This window comes from Homo sapiens, chromosome 10, assembly GCF_000001405.40.
Source record: "Homo sapiens chromosome 10, GRCh38.p14 Primary Assembly".
NCBI lineage: Eukaryota > Metazoa > Chordata > Mammalia > Primates > Hominidae > Homo > Homo sapiens.
Window position 1 is genome coordinate 97,353,973 of NC_000010.11, and position 15,317 is coordinate 97,369,289.

General features: G+C 53.7%; 1 protein-coding gene across 5 annotated transcripts in view; it reads right to left on the reverse strand.

The window, feature by feature from the left end:
• Positions 1–2,384: 2,384 nt before the first annotated feature.
• RRP12 (ribosomal RNA processing 12 homolog) overlaps positions 2,385–15,317 on the reverse strand; it is a 45,014-nt gene continuing 32,081 nt past the window's right edge. For 3 of the 5 annotated variants that reach the window (NM_001145114.1, XM_047424903.1, NM_015179.4), the window contains 9 exons: positions 13,069–13,160; positions 12,770–12,937; positions 12,474–12,649; positions 12,136–12,261; positions 9,882–9,931; positions 6,574–6,646; positions 4,971–5,038; positions 4,565–4,647; positions 2,729–3,224 (listed from right to left, as the gene is read on the reverse strand). In NM_001145114.1, the coding sequence (NP_001138586.1) occupies positions 3,122–3,224; positions 4,565–4,647; positions 4,971–5,038; positions 6,574–6,646; positions 9,882–9,931; positions 12,136–12,261; positions 12,474–12,649; positions 12,770–12,937; positions 13,069–13,160 (939 nt within the window). In that variant the 3' untranslated portion in view covers positions 2,729–3,121. Of the gene's footprint in view, positions 3,225–4,564; positions 4,648–4,970; positions 5,039–6,573; positions 6,647–9,881; positions 9,932–12,135; positions 12,262–12,473; positions 12,650–12,769; positions 12,938–13,068; positions 13,161–15,317 lie in introns of those variants that run through there. The other 2 variants (NM_001284337.2, XM_011539556.3) reach the window with 2 other exon arrangements.

Consider the following 15,317-nt stretch of genomic DNA (forward strand, 5'->3'; position numbering starts at 1 on the left):
CAAACAGTACAGAAAAAACACCCTTCTTGGGACTGATCATGCTGTAAGTAGGACTAGCTCTAAAGATGGCCACTGGCAGGAATGAACTGCCAGGACAGTCCCCACCAAGCCTTCTGCCACAATCACGAGAAGGGAAATAGTGAAGGGGCAAGGTCAGTTTAACCTGACTCACCCATGGCCAGAAGTGTCACAATGTGGACATGACTAGACCGCCTTTGCAAATCCCCAAAGCTTGACCACTCCCTTGGCCAACTGCAGGGTTGCGGTTTTCGTAGTCAAGCAGGGTAGGACCTGTTTTCCATTTCTGAGAATGAGTGGAGGATGGACCCCAGAAAAGCAAGCCTCAGATTGACATTCCCAAAAGCACAAATTGAAAATCTGGAGAGTGAGAGCTCTCAACTTTCCTATTCACCCTAAAATTGGATGAATCTTTTGTTGATGAACACTCCTAAGACTCTCTTTCGCCACACTGTTGAAACAACACTGACTTTGTTTTTTTTTTTTTGAGACAGAGTTTCGCTCTTGTCACCCAGGCTGGAGTGCAAAGGCGCGCTCTCAGCTCACTGCAACCTCCGCCTCCCGGGTTCAAGCAATTCTCCTGCCTCAGCCTCCCGAGTAGCTGGGACTAGTGTGTGCCTCCACACCCAGCTAATTTTGTATTTTTAGTAGAGACAGGGTTTCACCATGTTGGCCAGGCTGGTCTTGAACTCCTGACCTCAGGTGAGCCACCTGCCTTGGCCTCCCAAAGTGCTAGATTACAGGTGTGAGTGATTGCGCCCGGCCTCAAGAACACTGACTTTCAAAATACACCTGAAGTTTCAGGGTGAAGATTAATTCTTGCCTCTGCATCAAGATCACTTGCATTTGAAGTCTACTTCCAAAAGAATATGGCATTCAGCACATCACTAACACCAACCTTTCTAGGTCACCTGCCTTTCCCATCTTTAAAAGAAAACAAAGTTCCTTGGAAAATGTGCTATATATAACAAGGAGGTTGGCTTCACGCTTTCTTTTTTTTTTTTTTTTGAGATGGCGTTTCACTCTTGTTGCCCAGGCTGGAGTGCAATGATGCGATCTCAGCTCACCCCAACCCCTGCCTCCCGGGTTCAAGTGATTCTCCTGCCTCAGCCTCCCGAGTAGCTGGGATTACAGGCATGCACCACCATGCCTGGCTAATTTTGTATTTTTAGTAGAGATGGGGTTTCTCCATGTTGGTCAGGTGATCCACCCGCCTCGGCCTCCCAAAGTGCTGGGATTGCAGGTATGAGCCGTGCCTGGCCTTTTTTTAAAAAACAAACAAACAACACCAATAAGCTGGGCGCAGTGGCTCACGCCTGTAATCCCAGAACTTTGGGAGGCCAAGGTGGGCGGATCACAAGGTCAGGAGTTCGAGACCAGCCTGGCCAACATGGTGAAACCCTGTCTCTACTAAAAATACAAAAATTAGCTGGGCGTGGTGGCGGGTGCCTGTAATCACAGCTACTCAGGCGGCTGAGGCAGGTGAATTGTGTGAACCTGGGAGGCAGAGGTTGCAGTAAGCTGAGATCACGCCATTGCATTCCAGCCTGGGTGACAGGGCAAGACTCTGTGAAAACAAACAAACAAACAAAAAACAAAACACCAATGCTGGGCAATTGGCTCATACCCCTATCTACTTTACACAAAGCTTCCCAGTGCACGTGGTCACATTTCCTGAGAAAGGAAACAGGAAGGACTGGGCTTGGCTTACTTCGGCCCAACTTGTGTCCAGAAGTGTAACAACGGGGAGTATGGTTAGATCCCCTCTGCAAATCTCTCCTAGCCACTCCTGACCACCTTTCTTGCTTGCTCTCCAATTCTAGATTTCTGTGAACAAGGCATGTAAACAGTGCCACCTCTGGGCCGAGTGTGGTTCCTTTCAGCTTTTCCTAGCCCCAAATCATTGGGAGGAAATGCCCTAATTTGGGGAGCGCCAGATCCAATTAAGACTTGGGTCCCCTTAGATAATGAGTGGAAGAGTGTGGTGGGACAGGCTGCCAGGAGGTGCACAGGGCCTCCTGGGACCATTATCAGAGCCAAGTGCCTTAAACTAGAATGGAAACGAGGAATGTGTGCATGTGCTCGCCTCACGTTGGGAGGATCTGAGATGGGAAGAATGTATCAGTCAGGTGCTAGGGCACAAAGCACACTCATACTGGGGTGTGGGAACAGTGCTGGGGTTCTTTGCTTCTGGCTGCCTGTGGGATTGTATCCACATGAGGGGACCTGGGCTGACAGGACAGTGACCTCAGGACTTCTGTGCCATGCCCTTCTCTGCTCCAGACCAACAAAGCTGGCCCAGTGAATCACATTACACAAACAGATCCCCTTGTCTGGGAAAAAAAGAATGTGGGAAGACACGGAGGTGAATGAACAAGGCTATGCTGGGCACTTAGAGGGGCTCAGCAAATACTTTGTTGAATCAATGAACAAAGATGCTGGAGAGACTTGTGCCCAGGACAGCTGGGGCAGTCCCTGGTGCTGAACTGCAGCTCCCGACACCAGCCCTGGGGCATTCGCTGCCCCTCCTGACACAGGTGGGTGCTCCCGGGCAAGTTCCAAAGCCTGTCCTATGGGCAAAGCCTTATGATATGCCCTGGACTGGATGTAAGGAGTTAGACAGGAAGAGGTCAGGCCACTGCTGCCAACAACTGCACACTGTTCTTACCCCTGGAGGGGGCAGACTATGAAACAGTTTCTAGAAAAAAAATGCAGGATGAGACACATTTATTCTACATCTGGTCACAGTAAATCTCACCCAGACCACAGGCAGGATGCCACGTGGCTACAGGCAGCTGGCGGAAATGGAGATCATCTGTTCTGGTGCTCATGGCCACTCTGGGCAGAAAGCAAAGGTGCCTCATGGCACCTACTCAGAGGCACTGAGGCCACATTCCCATCTCCAGGCACCAGGGATGTCTCTGAAGGGTGATTCCATTTGGAGTTTCCAAAATCCAGGACTTCTGAGAGCCAAGCCCTAGTTCCAAGTCATCCTGAGTCCAGGCTCTGCCAGAATCTTGAGCACCTGGAGCTGGTGGCAAGGCAGCCTGGGGGCTGAAAGGGCCTCAGACTGGACCACAGGGCAGCCCAGGGGCCCTGGGCCTCAGGGTCGACGATCCTTTCTGCGGTTTTTGTGTCCCACCTGGGAACCTCGCCGGGCAGCCTTCACCAGGCCTTTGAACTGTCCCTGCAGCTTCATCTTCTTCCTGCAGGGCCAAGGAACGGAAGGGTCACATCTGGCTGAGAATAGGAGGCCCCCTCCTGTTGCCAAATGATGGCTCACCCCCAGCGCCAGCAGGGATGAGAAGGGGGCCTCCAGGTGGTGGCCAGCACATGAACTAGGCAGACCTCACGTGGTTCCAGCTTCCACACGGCTCATGTCCTGACCTGGACATTCCACTTTGGCACAATTATCCCCCTGGAAACAGGCCTCCCTTCCATTTTTCCTCTAATGTATGTCCAGAGAAGGTCAAAGCTCCCTCTGCCCACCCATCCCTCCATTGAAAGGTAACTTACAACCCGCAGAAGCTAGAACTTTACAACACCATTTCCCTAGTAACATTAGTTTCCAAAGCAGTCCTACACATAACCCAATTTAAGGGCCAAAGTCGGAAACAACTCTAATTTCCTACCAATAAAGGGATTAGAAAAGCAAATTATACAAAGCTATTAAAAATGATGACTATGGCTGGGCGTGGTGGCTCATGCCTGTAATCCCAGCACTTTGGGAGGCCGAGGTGGGCAGATCACAAGGTCAGGGGATCAAGACCATCCTGGGTAACACAGTGAAACCCCGTCTCTACTAAAAATACAAAAAAATTAGCCGGGTGTGGTGGCGGGTGCCTGTAGTCCCAGCTACTCCGGAGGCTGAGGCAGGAGTATGGCGTGAACCCGGGAGGCAGAGCTTGCAGTAAGCCGAGATCGTGCCACTGCACTCACTCCAGCATGGGTGACACAGCGAGACTCCGTCTCAAAAAAAAAAAAAAAAGATGACTATGTAGAGTATGTAAATACCAGAAAACATCTGTATGACATAATATCATGTTTAAAGAAGCAGTTCAGGGCGGGGCACGGTGGCTCGTGCTTGTGATCCCAGCACTTTGGGAGGCTGAGGCATGCAGATCATGAGGTCAAGAGATCGAGACCATCCCAGCCAACGCGGTGAAACCCCATCTCTACTAAAAATACAAAAATTAGCTGGGCATGGTGGCACGCGCCTGTAGTCCTAGCTACTCGGGAGGCTGAGGCAGAAGACTAGCTTGAACCTGGGAGGCAGAGATTGCAGTGAGCCAAGATCGCACCACTGCACTCCAGCCTGGCGACAGAGCAAGACTCTGTCTCAAAAAAATAAAAAAATAAAGAAGCAGTTCAAGTCAGTAATACAGGTAGGTACCAGCTACATGATATAGGTGCATGTTAAAAAAAAAAGCTGGAAGAGACTCAAATTGAGCTGAGAGTTTAATAAGGCCTTCCCTTCTTTAGAGCACTCTGCTCCCTCATCCCCACCCATCCTCCAGCCCCCAGCCTGCCTGGCACAGCGTCATACCTGCGGTTGAGCTTGCTTCTGTTGAGGGGGATGTAGGCATAGGGATCCGGCCGGCCTTTCTTCTTCACATCACCTTTTGCTTTCTGCTTGCCCAGAGAAACAGAGTCAGCTAGGAGGGTGGGGTTCCCCTTCTGTCCCTGCCCTAGACTTGACAGGCCCCATAACCTCCCTTCATCCTCTGCCTTAGGTGGTGCCAAAGAGCTCCTGTATCCTTGGAAGGCCATTCAATAAGGTCCCCCATTTCAGATGCCACAAGGTCTTAGCATCTGAACCCCTTCTTCTTTCCTGGCCTCAGTTGAGTTCCAGGAAGGTGCCTCTCAGGACAGTGATGGGCACAGCTCCTCCTTGCCCCTCCCTGGCACCTGTCCAGTGCCAGGAGACCCCATGCCCTACATGCAGCACTTACCTTGGCCTTGTATTCAGCCCCAGGCATAGCCTTCTTGGCCACAGGGCGATGAATGCCAGAGCCTCCAGCTACGGGGAGAACACAGGACCATGAGTCAGGCAAAGCCAGGGCAGCCCCCTCCAGAAAGGCAATGGGCACCCTCTCTGAGAGAGCTGCAAGGGAGCAGATGAGTGAAGGCCAGGAACTTGGCTCTGTCCCCTATCAAACCAGGACAAAGACCTTCCTCGAGGAGGGACTGTCTGGTGATTTGACAGTTAGATCACTGGGCTCCTCAGACTGACCCAGAAGCCTTACAGCTTACCAGAGACCTCTGGGAACACATATATTCTCCGCTAACACACTAACAAAAAATAACCCATATTCTCCAAAGTCAGACAGAATTCAGCCAGCCAGCCAGCCAGGTTCAACTCCCAGCTCTGCCACTTACAGCTCCAACCTCAGGCAAGCCTCTTAACCTCATCTGTAAGAGAAGCCATTTTAGGCTTTCCCTTCTTATCTCATTTGGGTTTCACACAAACACTGAGATAGCAGGTAGCTATTTAACCCATTGTAACAGATGTGAACACTGTGGCTTAGAGAGATCAAGATCCTTGCCCAAGGTCAGCTGTCTTCTCCAGCCTGGACTTCAACATTCAACGACAAGTTGTGGATGGAATCCTACCATGCCAGCTCAGGAGGACTCTCTGAGACGACCAACACGAACCACCCCCATTCCTCATGTTTTTGCAGATGAGAAACTAGAAGCTCAGAGACAGACAGTGTAACCAGGCCAAGGTCAAACAGCTAAGCAGAGGTTGGGCAAGCAGCCCTGACCCCAGGTCTCTGCCTCATCAATTGGCAGGTACTCCTGCCTCAGCATCACTCCATCCCAGGGCACAGTAGGTGAGCTGGCCCTGGCTCATGGGTGCCACAGGCGGAAGAGCCATGAGGTTGTGCAGCTGCGTTATGATGCTCTAGGGCTGAGGACACACCAGCTACTGGAATCAGAGGCTTCCCACAGGAGCCCCTGGACCTCCAGATGCAAAGCAAGGGCTCTGCTGCAAGGGCTTGGGGGCAGGGGTCCTGCAAGGCTACCCTGGGAGGAAGGAAGCAGAGGTGAAGCCACCTTGGCACTTCTAGCAGCTGCTCTAGGAGGGCAACAGCTGGTGGGCCCAGAGATAGAAATAGAGGGGAACCCTCTGGCCAGACCCAATACCAACCTTCCCAGTTCCCAGCCCTGGCACCGGCCAAGTGGCTTCTCTAAACCCAGCCTGACTCGGTTGGTGCTCTTAGGGTGACCAAGAGAGGCAAGCAGCTCGCAGAAGGGACAGACTCAAGCCTCTTGGGAGGCCTGGGCGGGTGGGAAGGAGCTGTGGCTCAGGGCTCCTCAGAAGGCTGGTGGTTCCATGCACAGATCTCCTAACCCATAGGCTCTCTCACACCCCCAGGGCCCCTTAGACTCCAGGCCCATCTTGAGTGTCATATCAGCCAACCTCTGTTGGTGCCAAGTGAGTGCAACCAGGCTGTGCACCCTCATGGCCCTGCCACCCCTTCCTGTGACTCCCCTCCCTAATGCAGGTGACAGGGATCCATGTGTCCCAGGAGAGAGGAGTGGAAGCCTCACCTTGGTACTGAGGGGGTATCTCCAGCTCCTCCTCCTCAGCCTCTTTCTGGTGCTTGAGCTTCTGGTGCTTTTTCTATAGAGAGAGAATAGGTGGGTAGTGAGTGAACCAGGGGATGTGCCCACCCTCGGGAATGCCAACAGTAACAGCAGAGTACCCTGCATCAAGCAGGAGAGGCCCTCTGCTAAGCACCCCACCTCTCACTTACAGATGGGGAAACTAAGGCCCAGAGAGGGCAAGGAACTGTCCAAGATCACAAAGCCAGGCAGTGCAGAAGAGAAGCTCTGGCCATGTCCTGACTGCCGGGCTGGTGGCGGCCGTTCCTGCTCTTCCTTTCCACTCTGGGCCCCACCCAGGCCTGCAATTGCCCAGAGGGCTTCTGACATCAGCTTACCCAGCCTTCCTAATGGGGAAAATGAGGTCCCTGGCCTCTTCAGAGAGAATAGCTTTACCAGTTCTTTGCTTCACACAAACCCCACCCCACTCTCCCTATTAATCACTCACTTACTGATCCCCTACTAAGTGCCAGGCCCTGGGGACACAGGGCACAAGATCTAGTTCCTGTGCTCCACGGGCTCTCAGGCGGGTGGGAGACCCCTGCTCAAGCCAGTCATCACTGATCCTCAACAATGCTACCATCCCAGCAGGTATGATCATGGACAGTAAGACACGTCAGCTCGTCAATTATATTCAACAGGAAGTGACAGAGCACCTACTGTGCGCCTGGCACTGTGTTAGGCAGTCCAAGGGAAGGAGGGAGAGCCCGACAGCGGCCCCAGCCCATCAGATGTGAGCCTAGAACCAACAACCAGGCCAGGCAGAGGCGTGCTGTGCAGGGAGGGCAGGCAAACAGAGGTGGCCCCAGCTGGCAAGGCTGGTCCCTGCACTGTGGTCTGTGCCACTGTGCCCCAGAAACCTCTAGAAACTGCAGATTCCCAGGGCTCCAGCTACCCAGGGGATCCAGAGGCCAACCAGGGGAAAGGTATGCCAGGTAAAGGGATCGGCCTGGGCAGAGCGAACAGGCTGCAGCACACACAGGGTGTGCCTGGGAGACGGGGGACTCCAGGTCCACTGGCCGAAGCCCAGCTGAGTGGGCTCCTAGTGGAGAAACAGGAACCGGGAGGAAGCTGACTCCGACTGCAATGTAGGGGATGATGGCTGAGCTGGCTCTTGGTTCAGCTGGTGCTTGGCCAACAGCCCAGCCTGCTGGCCCTGAATGGAGGCAGCTACTTGAACCCCAGCACTTCATGCTTCCACAATGGTTGGCCGAGGAGTTAGAACTTGGCCGGGCCCGGTGGCTCACGCCTGTAATCCTGGCACTTTGGGAGGCTGAGGTGGGTGGATCACGAGGTCAGGAGTTCGAGACCAGCCTGACCAACATGATGAAACCCCATCTCCACTAAAAATACAAAAATTAGCTGGGCGTGGTAGCATGCACCTGTAATCCCAGCTACTCAGGAGGCTGAGGCAGGAGAATCACTTGAACCTGGGAGGGGGAGGTTGCAGTGAGCCGAGATTGCGCCACTACACTCCAGCCTGGCGAAAAAGTGAGACTTCATCTCAAAAAAAAAAAAAAAAAAAGAGTTAGAACTAAGTGCCATGCAAGAAACCCTCTGGGGGTCTCAGTGGCAGGAGCCAGCCACAGAATGCAACTGCCCTGGGGCCCTCTCAGTGCCTGGAGACAAGGCATCTGCTCAGTCCCGCTCTGCCCGGGGCAGTGGGGGACATCCTTAGAAAGCCGTGGTCGGTTCTCCCCGGCCAGGGAGAGGAGTAGGCTGCCGAGGATCTGCAAAGCCACATGTGAAGATGTGCTTAAGGAACCCAGGAGGCTTTGAATGGAAAAAGATTTCCAGGAAAAGTGAATAATCAAGTCACAATGGCTTACTTTGCATCACTAAGTGGCAAGCACTGTACACAGAAACAAAGACTTGAGCCCAGGCAGTCTGGGCCCAGACACACGTTTGGCAGACGACTGCCATCACCTGGAGAGGGAGACTAGACTGGCCTGAGGGTGGCCTCTCGGAGGGGCCCATGTCAGACCAAGCAGAGGAAGGACTCCCAGTAGGTGAAGCTGTCCCACAGGAGTGGTTGCCTGGGCGCAGAGAGGGGCAGGAGGGTTTTCAGCAGAAGCCCCACTGCTTTTCCTCAAGGGCATCCCAGAGGGGCTTCCCGCATCAGAGGCTGCTCAGGTCCTCAGCTACTCTCTGACCCAAGACTCTGGATATGTACTCAGCTCTTCAAACAGAATTCTGCGCTGTCACAATGCTCTAATAACAAACTCCTCCTCGGGCCACACTGGGCAGATGGACACTTGGCAAGGCATATGGGCAGACATTGACAAACATGACGCCAATGAAAACGGGGATGTGGGGGAAGTCTGTAACACTTCAGGCACTATGCTAATGCACTTTACACGCCCAATCTTACCAAACTGTCCCAATGACTCCACCAGGTGGTCTATTTATAACCCCACTTTACAGATCAGGAATTGAGGCTTTAAAAGGTTAGGCTGAAGCCAAGATGGGACCCCAGAGTCTGCCGCTTCCCCACCGATATCACTATACCCTGATGTAGGCTCTGTCACCTACGGGTGGTGCCCAGGAAGGCTGGATGGGCTGGGGCATAGTCTGGAAGGGCAGAGAGGGAAGAAACTGCTCCAGAATGGAAATGTTCCACTGAGCTTGAGACTGACAGGTGTTGGGTGATGGGTTGGGCCCACTTCACCCTTGTTGGTTCAGGTGGGGCAGCTGAGAGGCTGTTTCCATCCTGGCAGGCAGCACTGCCAGGTCAACAGGGGTAATGGTGGCAAAGAGGTTGAATTCCTGGGCTTAGGAGACTGGAAAACCAGGGTTCAAATTCCTGGTTTGCACAGACTGAGTCCTGTGACCCTGGGCAGGCTACTTACCTCTGTACGCTCCTCTGGTCACTGGGACAACGGAGTCCCTATCTTCGTGAGGCTATGTGGGGCCCTCAGCACAGTGCTGGGCACACAGCCATGCTCCCCTACGGTGGATGCCCCCACCCCATGCAGGAGCACACAGGGAAGCTGCTGCCCTTGCCCCTGCATAGCACATGCCCTCGCTAGAGAGACAAGGGTCTCTGCCTTCTTTCTCCTTTAACTAGACAACCATCACCCTGTCCTGCCTGGCACCCACAACCTTCTGGACCGCCTGCTATGCACACCTGTGAGGATGCACCGAGCATTCCAGAAACAGGGCAGTTCCAATGTCTACGTGTGGTGGGGGTGAGAAGCTGTGGAGCCCAGGCTTAGGTCTGAAGCCCTAGCCCCCCATCTGCAGGAACTACTCACATTCCTGATGATCACATCTTCCATTGGGTCAGCCATCTCTTCATCTTCGCCTGGAGCCAAAAAAGAGAGGCCCATGAGCGCTGTGGGAGCTCCTCAAAACCTACCCTTTCCTTCTGCCCCCTCCTGGCTCACCAGGCTGCGGGGCCACCAACTCCGGCCCCAGAAAATTGCCTTCCTCAGACCAATATCATCCTTCTGCTAGAAGAGATGAGACCCCTGAGCACTGCCCCTTTCTCCTTCCCACCCTAGGCCCTAGGGATAACGGCCCCTCAAAGAAGCGGTGATCCTACTTTTGAGGTGAATATGGCTTCGTTTGAAACTTTTCTTTTCCCACTCACCCACCCTTCATCTGTTTGAGATTTGAAGAAAGCCCCAGGTTTCCGGGGGAGTCAGGCGCTCCTGCAGCCCCATACACACCCCCACTGTGCCAGGAAGGCTTCATTCTCCTGTTTGAAATCTCTGCCCCATGCAGTATGTGCTGGGCTCCATGTGGGAATATAAAGTATGAAACTGACCAATTGGAGGGAAGAGAAACTCAGGCAAAGTCAATCAACAACCAAAAGACGATAGAGAGCACGTGACCGGCCATGTGTGGTGGCTCACACCTGTAATCCCAGCACTCTGGGAGGCCGAGGAGGGAGGATCACCTGAGGTCAGGAGTTCAAGACCAGTCTGCAACATGGCAAAACCCCATCACTACTAAAAATACAAAAATTAGCTGGGCATGGTGGCGCACGCCTGTAGTCCCCGATACTTGGGAGACTGAGGCAGGAGAATCACATAAACTCAGGACATGGAGACTGCAGTGAGTCGAGATCGAGCCACTGCACTCCAGCCTGAGTGACAGAGCGAGACTCTATCTCCAAAGAAAGCACATGACCAAGGGCTGAAGACTGGGTTTCCTCTGGGCTTGGCAGGAGTTCTGGGGGAATCAGGCCTAAAGGCTGAGGTGCCCAGGAAGGGCTACAAAAGGAGCTTTGAGCTGAATCCTGAAGAGCAGGGGGGTTTGGAAAGGCAGAGAGAGAGGGGAGGGGTCCTGACAGCCTCAGGAATGCCTGGGCACCAAGGGGGACAGGAGATGGGAAAGTATACAGGGGCGAGAGAGGAGCAGAGAAGACACTAGACACGGAAATATAACAGGCACATGTACACCAAGTACATACGCTGTCCCCATTACACCGATTCATCTTCATTCCAACCCGGAAAAGTGGGTATTAGGATTGTATGATATCCACTCTGAAGCAAGGAAACGGAGCTAAGGAGAGGCTGACCGAGCGGCTGCAGTCGTGTGGCTGGTGAGTTGGGTGCATGTGGAGCAGTGAGGCTCCAGTTAGGAGGTGCAGTGAGACAAGGGCCCAGAGCTCGCAGCACTGGGAACCAAACAAAGGGATGACAGGTGTGTTCTTGAAGACCTAGGTGTTTTTTTTTTTTTTTTTTTGAGACAGAGTTTCGCTCTGTCACCCAGGCTGGAGAGCAGTGGCACAATCTTGGCTCACTGCAAGCTCTGCCTCCTGGGTCCACGCCATTCTCCTGCCTCAGCCTCCCGAGTAGCTGGGACTACAGGCGCCCGCGACCACGCCCAGCTAATTTTTTGTGTTTTCAGTAGAGATGGGTTTTAACCGTGTTAGCCAGAATGGTCTTGATCTCCTGACCTCCTGATCTGCGCGCCTTGGCCTCCCAAAGTGCTAGGATTACAGGCGTGAGCCACCACGCCTGGCGAAGACCTAAGTGTTTCTTAGCTAATGGCTGGATATGTGGAGAGGGGCCAGGAAAGACTAAAGAGAGCTCCGAGATGCCACACCGGAGGGACTCCCGGGCAATGTGAGACATTGGGATTGGGAAGTTGGGAGGGTTTCAGCCTCTGGCTCTTTCTGCCTCTAAATCATCTTCAGGGCCTTAGCCAAGTTTGCATTAAAAAAAAAAAAAAAAGAGGAAGGAAGAAAAGGAGAAAGGAAGAGGAGGGGGAGGAGGAGGAGAAAAACAGAAGAGACTAACAGCGTATCACACACAGTAAGGGGAAGTACCATTTCCGATAGTTTCCTTTAAGTTAAATATGTATTGTATAAATGGCTCGGTTACAACATAAAAAGATTTCTTAATGTTTCTCAAAAAAAGTTTGAGAAACTCAAAAAGTTTGAGGAAGCTGCCGAGAGAAGAGTTTCTCTGGTCTGTTTTTAGCCACGCTTCCTCAGCAAGTGATCACCGAAGGAATAAGTGAACACGGTGAATGAATGGACAAGCGCGTTGGGCCCACCTTTGGCACCTTCCTCTTCCTCCATCTTGTTGCCGTCTGCCTCCTCCCTTATGATCAGCCGGCCATCGGCGCTCACCTTGAAGCCGTGGTCCTTCTTCCTGCCCCGGCCTGGCCCTGGCTGCGTGGCTGGGGTGTAGAGTTTGGCATGAGGAGGTGGAAGGCCAGTCCCATGCTACTCACCCTCATCATGACCAACAAGCCCGGCTCAGGGATCCCAAACGGGCGCCTCTCAGCCCTGTCCATGGGCCTGCCATGGATGCCACCCCCTACCCACCACCTGAGAACCTGGCACCATGGCAAGTCTGTTTTCTGAGTGCACTGGCCAGCCCTGTGCTTACCCAGGACTCGTTGGGCCACCTTGGGATCCAGGAAGTTGAGGGGCTCGTCCCCACCGCCCTCTTTCAGCCATGCCCGGCTCCTCTGTCGTGCCAGCTTCCGCTGCTCCTTGCCTCGGCTTCTTTCCTCCTCCTCATTGTCCTCCTCGTCCTCTGAGTCAGCTAAAATCTCCTCAATGCTAAGGACAAAAAGCCCCCAGTCAGAGTGCTCCCAGGAGAGGCGGGGGTCAGCGGGTATTGCCTGGGCAGGCCCTTGGGTTGGGGGGACACCGGGTCCCATGGCCCTAACATGGTCTCACCTGTCACCTTTGCCCTGGGCGGGCTCCTCCTCCTCCTCCTCCTCTTCTTCCTCCTCCACGGCAGCCTGGCTCAGGGCTCGGTGCCTCTTGGCCCGGGCCTCAGCTTTCCGGATGTTGACCAGGACTCTGTGGTACTCCTCGGGCAACAGCCTTTTCACCAGCTCAAATCTGGAGGTGGCAAGGAAGGGCTGGTGAGAGGCACTGGCCAGACAGCACGACCCAGATGTAGTGTCCCTGGTAGGACTGGAAATCCTCGGCCCCTCGCTTGCCCTACCCCCGCCCCTGCTCAGTGCACAGACCCAAACTTGCGGATGAACTTGGTGAACAGGTTCCGAAGCTTCATGCGGAAGTGCCGCCGCATGTCATCTGAAAGCTTCCCAATGGCTTCCATCTGCCGGACAGAGCACCAGGCTTTCAGGGAGGCGAGCCTTCCATGCTGCGCCCCCTTTACTGCTGTCCAGCCCAGGGACGCAGCATGATCAAGCCCAGCTGAGGGGAGGGTTAGCGCGGCCCTGCTCCTGGCCCACACCCTGGCCCAGTCATGCTTCCCTCGGGTGGGCAGGCCCCATCTTTCCCCTGCACCCTCCTTCAGGACACAGGCCTGAGCACCCTCGCAGGATGAGAGCTTTAGTCTTCTCAACAGCACTTGGTACTTGACATATATCCTCTCCTTGAATCCTTGGACTACCCCTGAGATACATGCTATCACCCCCTATTTATAGAAGAGGACACGGCGGCACAGAGGATAAAGTGTTTGCTAAATGGCCATAGAGGTGGGAGTTCAGCCCAGACTCATCTAATGCTGCGGCTCCCGCTTTGCCCCTAGCACCCCAAGATTTCTCTTGGTCCCCTATGTCCCTTCCATCTCACTGCATTCTGCTCTGGCTGGATTCCTCTTAAGCCTTCATCTGGCCCAGTTTGGGTTACATGTGCAGGTGGCAGATCTTCTTATCTCCAGTGACTCCCAAACCGGCTAGGGGATAGGGTCCACGTCTACTCCTTTTTTTTGAGATGGAGTCTCGCTCTGTTGCCCAGGCTGGAGTGCAATGGCACGATCTCAGCTCACTGCAACCTCCACCTCCTGGGTTCAAGCAATTCTCCTGCCTCAGCTTCCTGAATAGCTGGGATTACAGGTGCCTGCTATCACGCCTGGCTAATTTTTGTATTTTTAGTACAGACAGGGTTTTACCATACTGGCCAGGCTGGTCTTGAACTCCCAACCTCAGGCGATCCGCCCACCTTGGCCTCCCAAAGTACTGGGATTACAGGTGTGAGCCACTGTGCCTGGCTTTTTTTTTTTTTTTTTTGAGACAGAGTCTTGCTCTGTCACCCTGGCTGGAGTGCAATGGCATGGTCTCGGATCACTGCAACCTCCGCCTCCCAGGTTCAAGCAATTCTCACACCTCAGCCACATGAACAGCTGGGACTACAGGCGCGCACCACCATGCCTGGCTAATTTTTGTATTTTTTAGTAGAGATGGGGCTTCACCATGTTGGCCAGGCTGGTCTCGAATTCCTGACCTCAAGTGATCCACCCACCTTGGCATCCCAAAGTGCTAGGAATATAGGTGTGAGCCACCGCTCCTGGCCTCCCCAACCACTCTTGGAAGGGCTTCTATAAATCCCTTTTTTTTGAGACAGAGTCTTGCTCTGTTACCCAGGCTGGAGTGTAGTGGTGCAATCTTGGCTCACTGCAACATCCGCCTCCCAGGTTCAAGTGATTCTCCTGCCTCAGCCTCCCGAGTAGCTGGGATTGCAGGCACCTGCCACCTCGCCCAGCTAATTTTTGTATTTTTAGTAGAGATGGGGTTTCACCATGTTGGCCAGGCTGGTCTCAAACTCCTGAACTCAAGTGATCTGCCTGCCTTGGCCTCCCAAAGTGGTGGGGTTACAGGTGTGAGCCACTGCAGCCGGCCAGGGCTTGTATAAATTCGAATAACTCCATGATGGATCACTGCTCTAGCTGTTCTCCCCACCTTTGGTCCCTAGTAGGCTGCAGGCTCCGAGGGCAGCGGGAGGGCATGCTGATTCTCATCTGTCCCTTCCTATCTTGAACCCAAGGCCAGACCCAAAGAAAATATGCAAGAGGGACCCAGAGGTCTGATGTGACTCAAGCCAGTCACACATGGGAAACTGAGGCAGTAGGTACAGTGCACAGCTTGGCTGGAAGCCTACGCCAGCCTGGGCAAGGCTTCTCTTGGGCAGGAGAGGGCCAGGGACCCTATACCAAGGGGCTCTTCAGATCCTTCTGCAGCCCAGCAGGGGACCCAAAGGAATGGCCTCTAACCAGCAAGGTCAAAATGCAAGATGGGAAAAAAAAAAAGGCAAGATGAGGGGGTCCTGTGGAGGGAGAGCCCAGCGTCTGAGTCCCATGATCTGGAAAATCTCTGGCCCAGTTTCTCCATCTGTAAAATGAGGAGTGGCCCTGCCCATGGGCCTTTGCCCTGAAGAGCCCCTGTTGCTTTCCATGTAGGGCTCTGGGGTGAAGAAAGCCACCTGGGCAGTGTGCCCCCTCCTCGCCTCCACCTGACAGGCATTCCCCTATGGT